The 20462-nt window shown below is 37.4% G+C and overlaps 1 long non-coding RNA gene across 1 annotated transcript in view, besides 1 other annotated feature; it reads left to right on the forward strand.

The window, feature by feature from the left end:
- The window catches only part of SMIM15-AS1 (SMIM15 antisense RNA 1), a 69765-nt gene that overhangs the window by 15860 nt on the left and 33443 nt on the right, over positions 1 to 20462 (forward strand). Inside the window, exons 2-3 of the long non-coding RNA NR_109908.1 lie at positions 1529 to 1652; positions 2177 to 2263. This is a non-coding gene — a long non-coding RNA (SMIM15 antisense RNA 1). The remainder of the gene's footprint in view (positions 1 to 1528; positions 1653 to 2176; positions 2264 to 20462) is intronic.
- Positions 9525 to 10040: an enhancer, noted in NCBI's record as "NANOG hESC enhancer chr5:60483527-60484042 (GRCh37/hg19 assembly coordinates)". NCBI's record gives its function as "activates a minimal SCP1, AML or CMV promoter by ChIP-STARR-seq in primed H9 embryonic stem cells {active_cell/tissue: H9 hESC(primed)}" and the evidence as "EXISTENCE:reporter gene assay evidence [ECO:0000049][PMID:30033119]".

The raw sequence follows: 20462 nt of genomic DNA on the forward strand, positions 1-20462 counted from the left end.
ACATTCCATTGCATTAAACCAAAGAAGCCTTTAAAACTGAACCATGCATGCTGCTTTTCACTATTTTTGTTCACTGGCTACGGTTCATTCCCACCATACTCTTCTCTTAGGTACCATTGCCCCACGTAAGCAGGTAATGCCTTGGTTTGCCCAGCTCTTGGTAGAATTTTGAACTGACAGCGGATTACATTGTGTCATGAGGTGGGAAGGGCTGGGAAGGCAACATCCACATATCCCCATTATGATCTAGTCATTGTTTCCATTTCAAAGGAGCGATATATTCAGCTCAGCACTTCCGTCTATTTAAGATATGTTAGCTCCATGAATCAGAGTGAATCTACATATTCCCATTGTGAACCTGACATTGAAATATACGTTTTCCAGTTTCAATCTACTCACCTGTTATGAGTGAAGCTTACCTTTAAAAAAAAAAAAAAAGGAGCAGAGATATTTAATATTCCCAATATTTGCTTTTGATGAACTGATACTTTTGAACTTTTAAAACTATTTTATGTCTTCTGTACTCACAGCTCGTATACCCCCACAAGAGTGGAGAAGCCACAGGGAAATACAACTGGATCTTACTGTGAAAGGCAGGATTATGAGGTCTCGATATCAAGGCTGCCTAGAGGCTGGTATAAAAAAATGCTGATGTCCACATAACTTGTAACTCTTAAGTAAATCAAACCTGTAATTCAGCTTGGCTGCTTCTAAGTCATTTTGATTCCTGCCAACAGAACATTAATGAACTTAGCTTCTCCGCAAGTTTATTCATGTGTAATACCCAATTCCTTCTTCCTCGTTCCAGCAGTTGCCCCTGGTACATCTGATAAGGTGGAAAGCTAGACTAGGTCATACAAATCCAGGTCATTACTTAAACCCAGATTATTATAGACTGTTCTCTAATTTTTCTGTCTGGTTTTAGAGTGGCAAACAGAAGAAAGTTTCTAGGGCTTGGGTTTGGAAAAAAAATCCATACACTAATAATTCTTGTCTTGAAGAAACATTTTATAAAATTTAGCTTATTCTAATGCCTTTATATTTCCTACTTTTATTCTCCTTTTGACAATGATAAATAATTCAATTATATTGCAGTTTTGCTTTTGGATCTTGGTTTACCTCCATGGATTTACAGTGATGGGAATATTCTAGAACAAGTAGTCATCTAGATTTCCCCAAATGCCCTGAGACTGATATAAGAAGCATACTAAAATGGACATGAACCTAATTTTTCGAAGTATAAAATAATATAAACCAGTTGTGACCAAACTTGCCTACAAATTAGAATTGCCTGGAGATCTCTAAAATGCCAAAGCCCGGGACATATCCCAAACCAATTAAATCACTATTTCTCGAGGTGGGACACAGGCGTCAGGAGCGCTTTAACTCCCAGGATGATTCCTATTTGTAGACAAGCTTAGGAACCACTGACCTAGACAACTGTGTTACTTGAGGATTCTAAGTCGGCACAGCTGTGGCGTGTTCACTACCCAGCCCTGCCCTTGGCATGATGTTCTCTCCTATCCAGCTTCTCCATCATCTTCCTCCACCTGATTCGTAGAGACCTCTGGACATCTGAGCCTAAGCAGGGCCACTAAATGAGAGAGAATCCCATCACTGAAAAGCAACAATGAATATATTAAGGACCACAGGTGGGTGTAAAATAGATTTTTGCAAATTTTGTGAATTGTTATTTGTTATATTTTTCCTGATAACAAAAGTTTTATGTCAAAGATTTTTGTCTTCCAGTTTTAGTTTCTTATGCAGTAGTTTTAGGAAACTCTGGTGTGCCAAGATGATATTTTTTTTTCATGCTTGGGTGATTGTTTTAGAATTCCTTCTTTGAGTTCAAGAACATCTTTAAAATATCTAACTCAGGGGTATTATGTGTGTTGAGTGAGAATTGTCTATTTGCCTTCTTTAAAGAAACACAATTTGACACAAAGATAGGTATTAAAATTTTTATTTTCTGTGTATACACAGCACATTAGTTATTTATTTAAGCAACCACTGGCTGTCCAAAAACTGAGGGAGGCATGATATAACACCGATTGTTTACCATAGCCTTTATCACAACTCAGAGCTCTAGCATTGTACAAATAATCACATATTGTCTTAAAAAATTAAAAAACTAAAGTAATCCAATAAAATAATGATTTTGCTCTCTGTATCTTAGGAGAGATAGAAGAAATATTGCAACTGAAGCTGCTAGATGGTTATGATTATCTGAATAGGTGTGATCTTGACTTTAGCGAATTAACAGGTAAGCTTCTTACTATGAGGTTGGTGCAAAAGTAATTGTGGTTTTTGGTAATTGCACCAACCTAATATAAGTACTTCATTAATTGTAAACCATATTTGATTTAGAAACCATTTATACGTAATTTCTGGACTTGTATTCAATTAAAATAATCTATGCTAATATGTGCAAATTATAATCCCACTCTTGCTTTGATCATCTGTTTTCTGCCACTAACTGCCACTGAGGAGTGGAAAAAGAAGGCACATAGCTGTAATCTAATTTCAAATAATATTTGTCAGGGAAGATGTTTGGTTGGAAAATGCATGGCTTTTTTAACTCAGATTTTATTCTATAAGTGATTATTGGGGGCAGAGGGTAGAAAAAAAGTGAGAATACATGTCTGTCTCATGATAAACAAAAGCCTGAGATGTTACAGTTACTTACTAAAATCACTTTTATCATATGAAGATTTTGGATAAATCATTATTAAGGAAACTAAGGACAGCTGTGGCATGGAATCAGCGGGCTTTCAGTTTGAATCCCAGTTACTCACAAATGTAAAGTGGTATTTTCATTCCTCTTTTGTTAAAATGCTTTTTTTAAATGTAGGAAGTTTACATTTTGTCCTAGATCACATTGGCTTCTGTTCCCACAGGAAATGTTATATGCTATATGTCAGTTTTCATTTCATTAAAAGTGAAAGTAAACATGGTATGCATCAGCCAAACAGTAACTAATCCCGACATAATTTCAGTATTAAATGAGGCTTGGAATATGTATTTGAATGGGCATGATAGTTTGGGAAACTCTAATTCAGAGATGTCCCACTTATAACAGTGATGTTGGAGAATAGGGTTACCAGTTATGGCCTATATTTGCTCTGTCATATCACGTTCTTACAGTATGTAATTATATTTGGAGAAATATCCTTTGAGCCATAGTATTTTGGAGTCAAGTATTAGGCTATAATTTAGACATTGTTTTAGTAGAATAAAGTAACTTTATAAGATTGTTCCAGATCTTTGTTCTATATCTCTGTCTTTTATCCTTCCCCCTTGCAGAAGTCATTCCTATTTACCTTATTTAAAAAACGAGAGAAAGTATAACTCAGGCTGAAATAAAGCACCAGACTAAAAAGAGATGCCCATTTTCATTCAATATTTATATTTGCCAGAATAAAGGGAGACAAATAATTATTTTGCCTTTAAGGCCTTGATTCTGGATGATAGATTAAGTAGACAGACTGTTGACCACATGTGACTTAAGGAATATTGTTAATTATTTTACCAATCTTTGGATCAAGGTTTGCTTGAAGTAAGTAAGCTGTGCTGTGGATAAACCTTTGGATGATAAAGAGTGAGCTGTATTGCCTTCAATATTGTTTGCATCAGAACATTACTAAGTGGTATCGATTTTGAAAAATAAAATTCAACTTTCTGAGAACATAGACCAGATTCAAGTATTTTTATCTTTTTTTCCCCCCTTTTTTCAGAGAATGGAATCTCTCCACGTTGCCCAAGCAGGTCTCGAACTCCTGTACTTGAGCTATTCTCCCACCTCTGCCTCCCTAAGTGCTGGGATTACAAGCGTGAGCCACTGTTCATGGCCTTAGGGACTTTTAAATGTTAAATTGATTTTGACCTACCCAGGAGCTAGAGAATACCAATGATTACAGAGGGGAGAATAAAATTGCCGTATAGATTTTCTGTGCTCCTTTAGAAAATCCATTCTGGAGTAAAGAGATGGGCAATTGGTCAACTGAGTTTCTTTCTTGTATAATATGTCAGAGTTTGATATTGTCAGTCTGTTAACCAAGATTTTTATTGGGATATTTGCTGAAAGAGGCTCTAAGAATATCCCATCACCAGTAATTAGAATTTGTTACAGGTTTCAGTCAGGGTAGTTGAAAGGGAGCTAATTTGGTAACACAATAACCTAGTACCCAACTAATTCAGGAGCATGAAGAAAAATTGGTTGATTAAGGCTTAAGTCAGATAAATAATACTATAGGTTGACATGGCTGGGTTAGCTCAGGTTTGTATATTTGTTTTTTCAAAGAGGCAGACTTTTCCTAAGATTAGAATCCACAGTAATGATGGAAGCAGGAAACTTAGGGGCAGGCCATAGGTGTAAAATCAAAGTTGAGCTGCTTCTGTGTTACAGCTGTAAGCACAGGAAGTTGCCCATTTTTTTCAAGCACTATTTCTGCATAGTCATATATCAGCTAGTGTTGTCAACATAGACACAAGAGACAATAGGAATACGTACATGCAATTCCACCATCAGCTAAAAAACCCACATAAGTCTTTGAAGCTCTCAAATAACACGCATGACACTGAATGGTACATTTTGATGCACTTTGAAACTCTTATCTCTTTAGTTGGTAAGTACATTTGAACACTTAATATGTGCTCAGCAGAAGAGAAGGAGAACAAGGGAAGTCTAATATAAAATCAGGATTTTTTCTTTTCTCTTTGAAGCCAATTAGAATGTGTGTATGTGTGTGTGTGTGTGTGTGTGTGTGTGCGTGTGTGTGTGTGTGTGTGTGTATTATTTAGTGTAGTAATCCTTGGGTTTTTTTTAAAAAAACGTGTTTTACTATGAAGTGTAACATACAAGAAAGTGATAACATATGACATATACAGCTTACAAATGGTTGTAAGAATTAATACACTTTGTAAGTGCCACCCATGGTAAAAATAAGTAGGTGGAGAAGGAGGAGAAGAAAAGAAGAATTTAACTAGCATGTCAGAAGTCTCATGGATCTCTTTCCAGTCACAACCCTCTCACCAAGCTCGATTCCTATTCCCTGAGTAAGTTCTAATCTTACTTTTCTTTTTTTTTTTTTTTTTGAGAGAGAGTCTGACTCTGTCACCCAAGCTAGAGTGGTGCAATCTCGGTTCACTGCAATCTCTGCCTCCTGGGTTCAAGTGATTCTCCTGCCTCAGCCTCCCGAGTAGCTGGGATTACAGGCATGTGCCACCATGCTGTGCTAATTTTTGTATTTTTAGTAGAGATGGGTTTTCGCCATGTTGGCCAGGCTAGTCTTGAACTCCTGACCTTAGGTGATCCGCCCGCCACAGCCTCCCAAAGTGCTAGTATTACAGGCATCAGCCACCGTGCCCAGCCTAATCTTACTTTTAAAGTAATCATTTATTGCTTTTCTTTACAGTTTACCACTTGGATGTGCATCCATATGTACCATATACAACCATAGAGTTTAGTGTTGTGTGTCTGGAAACTTTACAGAATGAGGTCATACTTTATATATTCTTTTGTCTTGTTTCTTTCACTTGTTATCTATGATGTTGAATGTAGATGCAGTCTGTTCATTTTCATTGCTATGTAGTATTCCATTAAATAAACGACAACTTATTTATCCATTCTACTATGTTGGACATCTGGGTTGCTTACAGTTTGCATTACAGATAATGTTCCTGTGAATATAGTTATGCTATCCCTTGGTGCATATAGGCTTGCATTTCTGTTGGACATAGTCCTAGTCAGTAAAAAGGAATATGACAGAAGTCAATGAAACTGTCTTTTTCTGAATGAAAATTTAGTGAGCCAGTAATCTAATGAGGAAAACAGCTGTTCTTTTTGTTATTCTAATGGTAGGTGCTGTCTGGATATAAAGATGACCATTTCATTTGCTTAATATGAATGTCTACAAGTATGTTTCACCAAGAAAATAAAATACATTTTAGTTTTAAACCATATCTGGTATTATTTCTAGAATTCTAAAATTAACAGGATAAAAAGTCCTTAGAGGGCAAGGATTCTTTCATTTTTTAAATGTACTTCACAGTGACCATAGCAATGCTATTAAGATGCTGAATCCCAACCAAATATGCATTCTCTTGACAAATATACTTTGGAGTAAAATTATTTGTACAAATGCATATAACTTTTCAGATGTCCAGAACTTTAATTTTTCCTTTATTCTAAAAAGGGGGAAAAGATGGATTCCTTTAACTTAAAACTGTTTCTGTTTTGAAAGCCTCTATCCTGAAAGATAGAAAATAATAGTTTTGATGAATCCATGTAATATTCTGTGTTCTTCACAATTTTTCTTACAACATTATTCCTCTATACATGTTCTTAGTATAGATAATATTAATGTATTTCTGAGGCCATTAATAATTATAATTTGGGCCTTTTGTTTGCCTTTTGAACCTGGAAGACAAAATAGATAGTATATTAAGATGCAAATGTATATTTTCTAATGGACTTGTGCTTCAAAGCATATGTATTTTAGGGCTTGGCCTGATTTTGCCAGCTAAGGCCAGATCATTGTAAATTGATTTCAATATCTTTCTGCTTTTATAAGCTTTGTTCTAAAGCTTCACAGGAAGAATCAAAATAATGTTTGTCACACTGTTCTAGCTTAGCTGAAATCTTGTTCCTGTTTACACTAAATGACCATTGGCCTAATGCAGTTAACATGAGTACTTTACAACTCATCCAAGAACTATTTCAAGTGTTGAGGAAAAGGCACTTTAATTGAAAAATTACTTATGCAGGATCAGACTGAGCGAGAATGCTGTTTTTTGTACATTCAGCATATTACACATACCACGCTCCATTTTGCTCCTTTGTTATAACAAATGAATTCTTTTTTGCAATGAAAGGATTCTTATGGTTTATCTTCCTTGGGGATTGTAACTTTCAAAAGGTGCTCTTAAATATATTACTACTTTATTTAAACTATTCACTTCCCAGATGTGCAGTGCTTTGCACAAAGAATAATTCACTAATGCCTTGAGCACACAAAAGGAAAATGCTCTGCTGGGTTTCCCTTTTTATTTTACTTTCCAGTGGTAGGTTTATGACTTGATGCCCAGCTTCTTAATAAATTCACCTCTCACAGGACACAGTTCTCTTTAATATGTTTTCCATGCTTATAGAAAGAAACACTGTATTAGCAAACACCAGTAGAAATTTCATTTTCACCACGTTGCTTTCTCTGGGTATATATAGAGAAACCCCTTAAAGGGCTTCTCCAGGACAACTGAAAGTTATCTTTTTCATTGATCTCTTCTGTGGCTTTAAAATATTTTCTTGACAACATATTGTTTTTATTAATCTAAATTAAGCATTTTAGATTCTTTTATGAATTTAAAAGATATTAAAACCAAAGAATTGGAAAAATATCTAAGAAAAGTTACTAATTTCCATGGTGGGGTATAGAGTTGGTGTGTGTAGGAAGTTATACAGGCAGAGGAGCATTGGAAGAAAAGTGGTGTTTAAGGAAGATTACTGTAAACTGGCAGCAGGCAAGAGTCCAGGACGTTTACCCTTCCACCAAGTTTTCCCAGCCTGCTCTAGCCATGCTATTATTTTACAAGCTCCTATACATATTATATAATATATAAGCAAGAATGGATGGATGGGTCAAAATAAAATGCTTCTATCAGCAAGTTCCCTTGATAAGACAGCAATGGTCAAAATTCACATGAAATAAAAAGATCTTGGATATGGTTTCTTCCCGGGACTTAGAACTTTAATATGTTAATGTACGTCTTGAGGTTCCAAAAAGGGCCTTATATTTCAAGGAATGCTGGTGTTTCAAGCAACAGAGTTTGGGAAACAACAAGGTAAATGATAATCTAATGCATTTAGGTAAGAGGTAAGTGAAAGTTAGAATATATGCTTGAGCAACATGTAACCATAATGGCTGTGGAGTCCCAGCTTTGAATATCTTGGAAGAATAGACAATTATCAATGTTCCTCCCTCTCAAATGATCCTTCTCAACACAGGTTGTGCTTGATGAATCTTTAAGAACAGAATCTTAGCAGGATTTTGTCAAATGCCTTTTCTTCATCTGTTGAGATAATCATGTTTTTCTCTTTTAGTGTATTAGCATGATGAATTCCATTGATTGATTTTCTAATGTTAAACCAATCCTACATTTTTCAGATGAACCCCACTTGGTTATGACGTACTATCCTTTTATCCCTTTAATATATTGTATTTGATACTCTAAAATTTTGTTTAGAATTTTTACATCTATGTTCATAAGGGATACTGGTTTGTAGTTTCCTTTGCTGTAATATCTTTGTATTTTCTGCTCTATTTTTGGAAATGTTTGAGTAAAATTGTTATTTATTCATTAAATGTTTGGGAGAATTTACCCTGAAGCCATCTGTGCTTGGAGTTTTCTTTTTGGGAAGATTATAAACTGTGATGTCCATTTCTTTAACAGATACACAGTTCATACCAATACCCTCAATTCCAGTCCAACACCACAAAGTCTATTCTAGTTTTCATCCTTTCCATACCTGTAACTCCCTACCCTGACAATGAGAAACCCCTCTCCCATCATCTTTCACGTACTTCCTTATTTGGTTAATGTCTCTATATATAACCCATCTTCTTTTGCCGCTGCTGCCTCTCCAATACAAGTGCCCTCTTCACCTCCCTTGGGGTCTGAAACTCTGCCAAGGGCAGCAAGTGCTACTTCCCCTTCTACCCCTCAATGCATGCCCTCCTTACACTACCCAGGCTGATACCATATGCCAGACTGCCCCCATTGCATGGTGATATGGCTTGGCTCTGTGTCCCCACCAAAATATCATGTTGAATTGTAATTCCCAATGTTGGGGGAGAGAACTGGTTGGAGGGGATTGGATCATGGGGACAGATTTCCCCCTTTCTGTTCTCATGATAGTGAGTTCTCACAAGATCTAATGGTTTAAAAGTATGTGGCACTTCCCCCTTCATTCTATCTCTCTCCTGCCACCATGTGAAGATATGCTTGCTTTCCTTTCATCCTTCTGCCATGATTGGCAGGAGGACTTCCTGAGGCCTCCCTAGCCATGTCTCCTGTACAGACTGTGGAACTGTGAGTCAATGAAACCTCTTTTCTTTAGAAATTACCTATTCTCAGGTAGTTCTTTATAGCAGTGTGAGAATGGGCTAATGCAGAAAATTGTTACCAGGGAATTGGGGTCTTGCTATAAAGATACCTGAATATGTGGAAACAACTTTGGAACTGGAGAATGGGCAGAGGATAGAACAGTTTAGAGGGATCAGAAGAAGACAGGAAGATGAGGGAAAGTTTGGAATGTCCAGGAGAGTTGTTGAGTGATTGTAACTAAAATGCTGATAGTGTTATGGACAGTGAATTCCAGGCTGAGGTACTCTCAGACAGAGATGAGGAACTTATTGGGAACTGGAGTAAAGGTCACTCATGCTATGCTTTAGCAAAGAGACTAGTGGCATTGTGCCCCTGCTCTAGAGATCTGTGAAACTTTGAACTTGGAAAGATTATTTAGGGTATCTGGTAGAAGAAATTTCTAAGCAGCAAAGCATTCAAGATGTGGCCTGGCTACTTCTAAAAGCTTGTGCTCATTTGCATAAACAAACAAATGACCTGAAACTCAAACTTATATTAAAAGGGGAAGCAGAGCATAAAAGTTTGGAAAATTTGCAGCCTGACCATGAGGTAGAAAAGAAAAATCCATTTTCTGGGGAGGAATTCAAGGCTGCAGAAATTTGCATAAGTAAAGAAGAGCTGAATGTTAATAGCCAAGACAATGGGGAAAATGCTTCCAGGGCATTTCAGAGACCTTCACAGCAGCCCTTCCCATCACAGGCCTGGAGGCTTAGGATGGAAAAATAGTTTCATGGGCCAGGTTGAAGGTCCCGTGCAGCCTTAAGACATGGTGCCCTGCATCCCAGATGCTTCAGCTCTAGCTTTGGCTAAAAGAAGTCAAGGTACAGCTCGGGCCATTGCTTCAGAGGGTGCAAGCCCAAGCCTTGGTGACTTCATGAGCCTGGGCCTGTGGGTGTGCAGAAGACAAGAGTTGAGGTTTGGGAGCCTCTGCCTAGATTTCAAGGGATGTATGGAAATGCCTGGATGCCCAGGCAGAAGTCTTGATATGGTTTGGCTCTGTGTCCCCACAAATCTCATCTCAAATTGTAATCCCCACGTGTTGAGGGAGGGAGGTGATTGCATTATGGAGGCAGTTTCCCTCATGCTATTCTCATGATAGTGAGGGATTCTCATGAGATCTGATGGTTTAAAAAGTGTGGCACGTCCTCACTTGGCACTTCTCTCTCCTGCTGCCATGTGAAGAAGGTCCTTGCTTCTCCACCTTCTATCATGATTGTAAGTTTCCTGAGCCCTCCCAGCCATATGGAACTGTGAGTCAATTCAACCTCTTTCCCTTATAAATTACCCAGTCTTGGATATTTCTTTATAGCAGTGTGAAAAATTGACTAATACAAGCCTGCTGGTATTACTCAATACAAGCAGCAGGGGTGGAGCCTTCATGGAGACCCTCTACTAGGGCAGTGCAGAGGGGTAAATGTGGCATTGGAGCCCTCACATAGAGTCCCCACTGGGACACTGCTTAGTGGAGCTGTGAGAAGGGGCCACCATCCTCCAGACCCCAGAATCAGATCCATCAACAACTTGCACCATGCACCTGGAAAAGCCACAGGCATTCAATGCTGGTCAGTGAAAGCAGCCACAGGGACTGTACCCTGCAGATCCACAGGGGCAGAGCTACTCAACGCCTTGGGAGCCCACCCCTTGCATCAATGTAGCCTGGATGTGAGACATGGAGTCAAAGGAAATCATTTTGGAGCTTTAAGATTTAGTGACTGCCCTGCTGGATTTCAGACTTGCATGGGGCCTGTAGCCCCTTTGTTTTGGCCAATTTCTCCCTTTTGGAATGGGAGCATTTACCCAATGCTTGTCTCCCCAGGAATTAACTAACTTGCTTTTGATTTTATAGGCCGATAGGCAGAAGGAAGTTTCCTTCTCTCAGATGAAACTTTGGACTTGGACTTTTGAGTTAATGCTGGAATGAATTAAAACTTTGAGGGACTATTGGGTAGCCATGATTGTGTTTGGAAATGTGAGAAGGACATGAGATTTGGGAGAGGCCAGGGCAGAATGATATAGTTTGTCTCTGTGTCCCTACCCAAATCTCATGTTGAATTGTAATTCCCAGTGTTGGGGGAGGGATCTGGTGGGAGAGGATTGGATCATGGGGGCAGATTTCCCCCTTGCTGTTCTTATGATAGTGAATTCTCACAATATCTGATGGTTTAAAAGTGAGTGGCACTTCCCCCTTTGCTCTCTCTCTCCTGCTGCCATGTGAAAATGTGCTTGCTTTCTTTTTACCCTTCCACCATGATTGTAAGTTTCCTGAGGAAACTTGTACAGCCTGTGGAACTGAGTCAATGAAACCTCTTTTCTTTATAAATTACCCAGTCTCAGGTAGTCCTTTATAGCAGTGTGAGAATAGACTAATACACATGGACACCCTCCTCACTTTCTCCTCTCTTCCTGCCAACTGAGTCTGTGTTGTTCAATTTAAACTGTTTTATTCAATGTATCTGTACATAACTGGCAAATAATAAATATGTAATCAATGACTTAAAAACTACATTTTTAATGGACATGTTCTATATTGGACTTTGAAGAAGATATTATTGAACTACCTGAGTGTATACTCGAGCTCTGCTGTTGCCTAACTGTGCAGCCATGGAGAAATTAAATCAACTTTTTAATATTTCTGTGTCCTCATCTGTTAAGTGGGATGATAATATAAATAATTATAAGATAATATTAATGAAGATAGATTACACGTGATGCCTACTATGCACCAGGTGCCATACTAAGGACTTGACATATATTAGGTCATATAATCTCCAAAATGGTTTTTTGGAGGACATGCTATTATATTCATATTACAGAAGAGACAGTTGTCGTTTGATGTAGTGCCAGTATCTCATTTTTCAGATGAGGAAACAAAGCACAAAGAAATAATTTATTCAAGATCACATAACTAATAACTGGCATGGCTGTAATCCAGACACTATGCCTCCAGAAAACAATTCTGACACATATGAAAATTCCTAGTACAGTGCTTGCTACACAGTGGGTGCTAGTAAGTAATAATTATGTTAATGGATAAAGTGATTAATTATAATATGTCTGAATCACTATTATCAGGTCTATGACACAGGAAGAATCATGGCACTGTCCAATTGGAGTGGGGAGGATGATCCATTTTTAGCCTGAACACAATTGGCAATAATTTTATTAACTCGTTGGAGGTTAAAGTTCTCTCTATTTATTGCAGGTTGGTAAAGGAGGCATTATTACATAGAAAGAAGACACAGACTCAGAAATAGGTTATGTACTTCAATCTAAAAGGAAAAGATGGGAAAAAATTCTAGTTGATAGAAGATAAGAAAAAGAACTAATGGCACCCTAGAGATATTATAATAAACGAAAGACATCAAAGCTGGACGAAGTAGCCCAGTGGCTTCAAGGAGAACAATAGAAGCTTGAAAAACATCTATCAATCCAGATCAGCATTTAATAAGAGCCAAAAGCCCACAGATCCATTAATTTAATGAACCTGTGAACCTGGAACATTATAGGTGCTCAATATATGTTTGTTGAATTGATCTGACAATCCTTTAAAAAGCTTAAGTCAAATTTCTAGTTAAAGGCACACGTATAATAAAAGGGAGAACAGGAAAGAAGAAAACAGCCTCAAAATTTTGGACTTAGTGTACTGGAGAAAGCAGATTTTTAAACTGTTAGTGAGGAAAGCGGAGCAGAAACTCAATTTACATTATAAAATCCCCCAAGACCCAGGTATTTCTGGAAAGTGAGGGTGAAGATGAGGTTAAGGCTTCAATGACAGTGTGTTAATGAAGCAATTATTCTTTTATCCTTTTCCCACTTTGTACAGCAACTGCCCCTGACCCTCTCAGCTCCTAGACAGCTGGCTGTCAAACCAAAATGCTGCTGGCAGAAAAATAGAAATCTTATTGCAGGGACAGAAAAGAACTCAGACCCTGACATCAGGAACTCCTCAAGGAATAACATGTTGACCTTGGGCATCCCCCAAGGGATGGGCCCAGCTAAATTGCCCTACAGTGAAGACTATAGCCAACAAGCTATATGCACATGCACAGAGTTTCTAATCAGCTTTCTGGTGGACAACTTTTGGTTTCAGCAAAACAGCCAGAGAATACCAGAAGGGCAAGGAAAGCCTCTTGATATGACTGACACCAAACATACTTGGAAGAAATGGAGGCACATCCGGGAGATGTGCACCATCAAGTTCAGAAACATAAGAGAAGTTGTTACCTTCATTAAAAAAGATCAGAGTGCTATGTTTAAAAAAAAAAAAAATCACAGAACCAAAAAAAAAAAAAAAAAAAAGCTTTTGGAAGTTAAAATTGCAGTAGCAAATATAAAGGGAGTTTAGATAAAATAGGAGATACATATTGAAGGCAGAATTTAGTAAATATTGCAGAAGGTAAAATTATAAAAACACAAATATATGGAAAGTAGGAGAGAAAAAATAAGAAAATGGGAAGACCAATCCAGAAGATTTGATACCTAAATAATAGGAGCTCTAGAAAGAGGAAACAGAGAAAATAAAGGCAAGGAAAGTATACAGAGTAATTTAAGAGGATTCCTCAGAGCTGAAAGCCATGTTTACCCAGCACAATGGTCTAAAATAGATCCACATCATTTCATATCATCATGATGTTTCAGAGCATCATGGATGGAAAGGAAATCCCACAATCTCCAGAGATATGGGGAAAAAAGTTTCATAACAGGATCAAGAATCAGAATAGCACCATATTTCTCAAAACACAGCAGTAGAAGTGATAGGACAATGAAAAAGTGCCTTCAAACTTGTGAAGGAAAATGATGTTTCCAATTTCAATTCCATGCCAATCCAAAAGTGTGAGGGCAGAATGAAGATCTCTAAAAGTCTATTTCCCTTGCACTCTTTCTCTAGAAGCTACAGGAGGATGTGCTCCACCAAAACAAGGATGTAAGGCAAGAAAGAGGAAGAACTGGGACCCAAGAAACAGAGACAAGGAGAGTCTCTAGGATGGAGAAAGGAGACCTCAAGGTGACAGCAGTACCTAGAAAACATGCCTGGGATGGAACAGGTCAGAAGTCTCCAGGAAGAATTTCTTCAGGAAGATGAAATTGATCAAACACATATTTTAAATATCTCAAGAGGAAATTTGCACACTTTGGGAAGGATTTCCATTAAATTACCTACAAATTTATTTTAAAAAGTAAGCAAATCTACAAAAAGACCATGATTACATTCAGAGGATTGTATCACCTTAATCTGTTAGAGGACTGAGAAAGTTTCAGGAGAGTTCCAATCTTTGTGAGGGCTAGTCTATTTCCAGTTCACTCTTTATTTCTAGGATTTAGCTTTTAATGATCTCAGTCTAAAACCTGGGGAATATCCTATGCTCTATCCTAGTGGACACTGAACTCCAATTTTGTCCTGTTGGCCTTTTGAGTCCATCAAAGCTTTGCTCAGTTATTCAGCCACCTCTTCTAAAATCAGCAGTAACTAAGGTGAATACAGCCTCAAATTTCCAGCGCACCTCTCTGCGTTTCTTACTTCTTCCTGATCATGATCTTTCTTCACTGTTTTGTTATCTCTCTGATAATTTCAAGCAAATTTTAAAAATATTTTGTCTAGTTTTTCAACTTGTTCTCAGTGAAAGGGTTGGTTCTAATTACAAAGTTTGCCATTCAAGTGAACCCCCAAAACTTACTTAAAACATTTTCAATAGTTTTTGGGGTACAGGTGGTTTTTGGTTAAGTAAGTAAGTTCTTTATTGGTGATTTCTAGAATTTTGGTGCACCTGTCACCTAAGCAGTGTACCCTGTACCAAATGTGTAGTCTTTTATCCCTCACCCTGCTCTCACTCTTATCCTCAAGTCTCCAAGGTCCATTACATTATCCTTATACCTTTGCATCCTCACAGCTTAGCCCCCACTTATACGTGAGAACATGTGATGTTTGGTTTTCCATTCCTGAGTTACTTCACCTAGAATAATGGCCTCTAGCTCCAACCAAGTCACTGCAAATGCCATTATTTCATTCCATTTTATGACTGAGTATGAGTAGTCTATATACCACTTTTTTTTCCTTTTTTTTTGATGGAGTCTTGCTCTGTTGCCCAGGCTGGAGTGCAGTGCCACAATCTTGACTCACTGCAACCTCTGTCTCCCAGGTTCAAGCGATTCTCCTGCTTCAGCCTCTCGAGTAGCTGGTACTACAGGCACGTGCTACCTCGCCTGGCTAATTTTTGTATTTTTAGTGAGATGAGGTTTCACCTTGTTGGCCAGTCTGGTCTTGAACTCCTGACCTCAGGTGATACACCCCCACCTTGGCCTCCCAAAGTGCTAGGATTACAGGCATGAGCCACCGTGCCTGTCCTATATGCCACATTTTTTTAACCACTCATTGGTTGATGGGCATTTAGGTTGGCTCCATATTTTTGCAATTGGTGAATTGTGCTGCTATATATATGTGTGCATGTCTTCTTCATATAATGACTTTTTTGGGGGAGGTCCAAAACATACTTTTCATCTACTAACTCTGTGTATCCCTATATGTAGGAATATATGTAGATGCAATAAAGTTATATAAAAAGGAAAGTAAGGGCCGGGTGCAGTGGCTCACACCTGTAATCCCAGCCTGAGCAAGAGTGATTAAAAAAAAAAAAAAAAAAAAGGTAAGTAAGGACATGATAAAAACAAGATAGGCTGTGTGTGAGGAGAAGATGGTAGATGAAGGTTATTTCCAAGTCTCTAGGTTTCATCTGAGATGTCGGGTCAAGGGAGCTAATTACATTATTTAAATATTTTAGTTAAATATTATAACTAAAAGAAGTTCATACATAAACCAATGATAAGTATATGTTATAAATTATAATTAATCCAAATCTGTGTATCTCAGTTTCAATAAAAAGAAAAAACTTATGCAGGAAAGGAAATATAGTATATTATGTGGCACAGGTGAGGATAGCATTTAAGTAATGTGAATGAATACTGAATGGTGATCTAACTAAAATTGTCCATAGAGCCAAAATTTAAAATTAAAAGTGTGTATTTATGTGGATGAACAGGATGCAAAAGATAAGCAAATCTTCATCTTCTATACTGGGAAATCAGCAGATAATGGCTAAAATGGAAAAGTGAAGAAATCATATAATAATCATTATTTGAAGTAAAAACGTAAAGAAAGAGAATCTGCTACCAGGGTTCAAAATGGTTGCCTGGAGGTACAGTGGTGGAGTTGGGAGTGAGAAAATAAGTTGATATTTATTTATAACAAGATTGTTAAGGTTGTTTGACTCCCTAAACTGCTTATAAAATCGGTAAATTTAGTTAAAATAAAAATTAAAAATAATTTTTAAACAATATCAGAACTAACTAAAAATAAAAGAAATATGTAGTACAAAATAATGAAAACTCATATCTGAGTATACTTTGCCTAAAACTTATCCTATCAATTAATCTATTATTTCAACCAATTGGTTTTCAGCCAATTCCTTTACTCTTTTTCACATGGCAAAAGTATGCTATGCCTGCTTTCAATTAAAAAAAAAAAGCTGAAGAAAGTATGTGCGGTTCATCTGCATGGATTTTTTAATTTTTTTTATTTGAATTTAATTTAATTTAATTTTAGGTTCCAGGATGCATGTGCAGGACATGCAGGTTTGTTACATAGATAAACATGTGCCATGGTGATTTGTTGCACTTATCAACCCATTAGTTAAGTATTAAGCCCTGCATGCATTAACTATTTATCCTGATGCTCTCCACCCCCACCACCAACAGGCCCCAGTGTGTGTTGTTCCCCTCCTTGCGTCCATGTGTTCTCCTTGTTCAGCTCCCACTTATAAGTGAGAACATGTGATGTTTGGTTTTCTGTTCCTGTGTTGGTTTGCTGAACATAATGGCTTCCAACTCCATCCATGTCCCTGCAAAGGACATGATCTTGTTCCGTTTTATGGCTGCATAGTATTCCATTGTGTATATGTACCACATTTTCTTTATCCAGTCTATCATTGATAGGCATTTGGATTGATTCCGTGTCTTTGCTATTGTGATTAGTGCTGCAGTGAACATACACATGCATGTATCTTTACAATAGAATGATTTATATCCCTTTGGGTATATACCCAGTGACGAGATTGCTGTGTCAAATGGTATTTCTGGTTCCAGGTCTTTGAGGAATTGCCATGCCATCTTCCACAATGGTTGAACTAATTTACATTCTCACCAACAGTGTAAAAGCATTCCTGTTTCTCCACAGCCTCACCAGCATCTGTTGTTCCTTGACTTTTTGATAATGGCCATTCTGACTGGTGTGTGATGGTATCTCATTGTGGTTTTGATTTGCATTTCTCTAATGATCAGTGATGTTGAGCTTTTTTTCATGTTTGTGGGATACATAAATGTCTTCCTTTGAGAAATGTCTGTTCATGTCCTTTGCCCACTTTTTAATGCAGTTTTTTTTACTTATAAATTTGTTTAATTTACAAGTAAATTCTGAATATTAGACCTTTGTCAGATGGATAGATTGCAAAAGTTTTCTCCCATTCTGCAGGTTGTCTGTTCAGTCTGATGATAGTTTCTTTTGCTGTGCAGAAGCTCTTTAGTTTAATTAGATCATATTTGTCAAGTTTTGCTTTTGTTGCAATTGCTTTTGATGTTTTCATCCTGAAATCTTTGGCTGTGCCTATCTCCTGAGTGGTATTGCCTAGATTTTCTTCTAGGGTTTTTATAATTTAGGGTTTTACATTGAAGTCTTTAATTCATTTTGAGTTAATGTTTGGATAAAGTGTAAGGAATGGCTTCAGTTTCAGGCTTCTGCATGTGGCTAGCCAGTTCTCCCAGCACCATTTATTAAATAGGGAATCCTTTCTCTATTGCTCATTTTTGTCAGGTTTGTCAAAGATCAGATGGTTGTAGATGTGCAGTCTTATTTCTGAGTTCTGTATTCTGTTCCATTGGTCTATGTGTCTGTTTTTGTACCAGTACCGTGCTGTTTTGTTTGAAGTTGGGTAGCATGATGCTTCCAGCTTTCTTCTTTTTGCTTAGGAGTGTCTTGGCTATATGGGCTCTTTTTTGGTTTCATATGAATTTTAAAGTAGTTTTTGCTAATTCTGTGAAGAATGTCAATGGTAGTTTAATGGGAATAGCAATGAATCTATAAATTACTTTGGGCAGTAAGGCCATTTTCATGATATTGATTTTTCCTATCGATGAGTTTTTCGATTTGTTTGTGTCTTCTCTGATTTCCTTGAGTAGTGGTTTGTAGTTCTCCTTGAAGAGGTCCTTCACTTCCCTTGTTAACTGTATTCTCTTTGTAGCAATTGTGAATGGGAGTTCATTCATGTTTGGGCTCTCTGCTTGTCTGTTGTTGGCATATAGGAATGCTTGTGATTTTTGCACATTGATTTTGTATCCTGAGACTTCGCTGCAGTTGCTTATCAGCTTAAGAATCTTTGGGCTGAGACGATGGGGTTTTCTAGACACAGAATCACGTTATCTGCAAACAGTTTGACTTCCTCTCTTTCTATATGAATACATTTTATCTCTTTCTCCTGCCTGATTGCCCTGGCTAGAACTTCCGATACTATGTTGAGTAGGAGTGGTGAGAGAGGCCATCCTTGTCTTGTGCTGTTTTCAAGGTGAATGCTTCCAGCTATTGCCCATTCAATATGATATTAGCTGTGGGTTTCTCATAAATGGCTCTTATTATTTTGAGGTATGTTCCATCAATACCTAGTTTATTGAGAGTTTTTAACACGAAGGGATTTTGAATTTTATCAAAGGCCTTTTCTGCGCCTATTGAGATAATCATGTGGTTTTTGTCTTTAGTTCTGTTTATGTGATGAATTATGTTTATTGATTTGTGTATGTTGAACCAGCCTTGTATCCTGGGGATGAAGCCGACTTGATCGTGGTGGATCAGCTTTTTGATGTGCTACTGGATTTGGTTTGCTAGTATTTTATTGAGGGTTTTTGCATCAATATTCATTAGGGATATTGGCCTGAAGTTTTCTTTTTTGTTGTATCTCTGCCAGGATTTGGTATCAGGATCATGCTGGCCTCATAAAATGGGTTTTCAGTGGTTTGGAATAGTTTCAGAAAAAAATGGTACCAGCTTCTTTTTGTATCTCTGATAGAACTCAGCTGTAAATCTGTCTGGTCCTGGACTTTTTTTGGTTGGTAGGCTATTTATTACTGCCTGAACTTCAGAACTCATTATTGGGCTATTCAAGAATTCACCTTCTTCCTGGCTCAGTCTTGGGAGGGTGTATATGTCCAGGAATTTCTCCCTTTCTTCTAGATTTTCTAGTTTATTTACATAGAGGTGTTTATAGCATTCTCTGATGATTGTTTGTATTTCTGTGGGGTCAGTGGTGATATCCCCTTTATAATTTTTTATCGTGTCTACTTGATTCTTCTCTTTTCTTCTTTATTAGTCTAGCTAGCAGTCTATCCATTTTATTAATTTTTTCAAAAAAGAGCTCCTGGATTTGTTAATTTTTCAAAGGGTTTTTCATGTCTCTTTCTCCTTCAGTGCCACTCTGATCTTGGTTATTTCTTGTCTTCTGCTAGCTTTGGGGTATGTTTGCTCTTGATTCTCTAGTTCTTTTAATTGTGATGTTAGGGTGTCAATTTGAGATCTTTCTAGTCTTTGATGTGGGCATTTAGTGCTATAAACTTTCCTCTTAACACTGCTTTAGCCATGTCCCAGAGATTCTGGTGGATTGTCTCTTTGTTGTCAGTGGTTTCAAAGAACTTCTTGATTTCTGCTTTAATTTTATTATTTACCCAGGAGTCATTCAGGAGCAGTTGTTCAATTTCCATGTAATTGTGTGGTTTTGAGTGAGTTTCTTAATCTTGAGTTCTAATTTGATTGTGCTGTGTTCTGAGAGACTGTCGTGATTTCAGTTCATCAAAAAAAAGATTATTTTGCTTTTGCTGAGGAGTGTTTTACTTCCAATTATGTGATCGATTTTAGAGTACGTGACATGTGGCACTGAGAGGAATGCATATTCTCTTGTTTTGGGGTGGAGAGTTCTGTGCATATCTATCAGGTCCACTTGATCCAGGGCTGAGTTTAAGACCTGAATATCTTTGTTAATTTTCTATCTCAATAATTTGTCTAATGTTGATAATGGGGTGTTAAAGTCTCCCACTATTATCATGTGGGAGTGTAAGTCTCTTTGTATGTCTCTAATAATTTGTTTTATGAATCTAGGGTCTCCTTTATTGGGTGCATATGTATTTAAAATAGCTCTTCCTGTTGAATTGAACCCTTTACCATTATGTAATGCCCTTCTTTGTCTTTTTCAATCTTTGTCGGTTTAAAATCTGTTTTGTCAGAAACTAAG

This window comes from Homo sapiens, chromosome 5 (assembly GCF_000001405.40).
Source record: "Homo sapiens chromosome 5, GRCh38.p14 Primary Assembly".
NCBI lineage: Eukaryota > Metazoa > Chordata > Mammalia > Primates > Hominidae > Homo > Homo sapiens.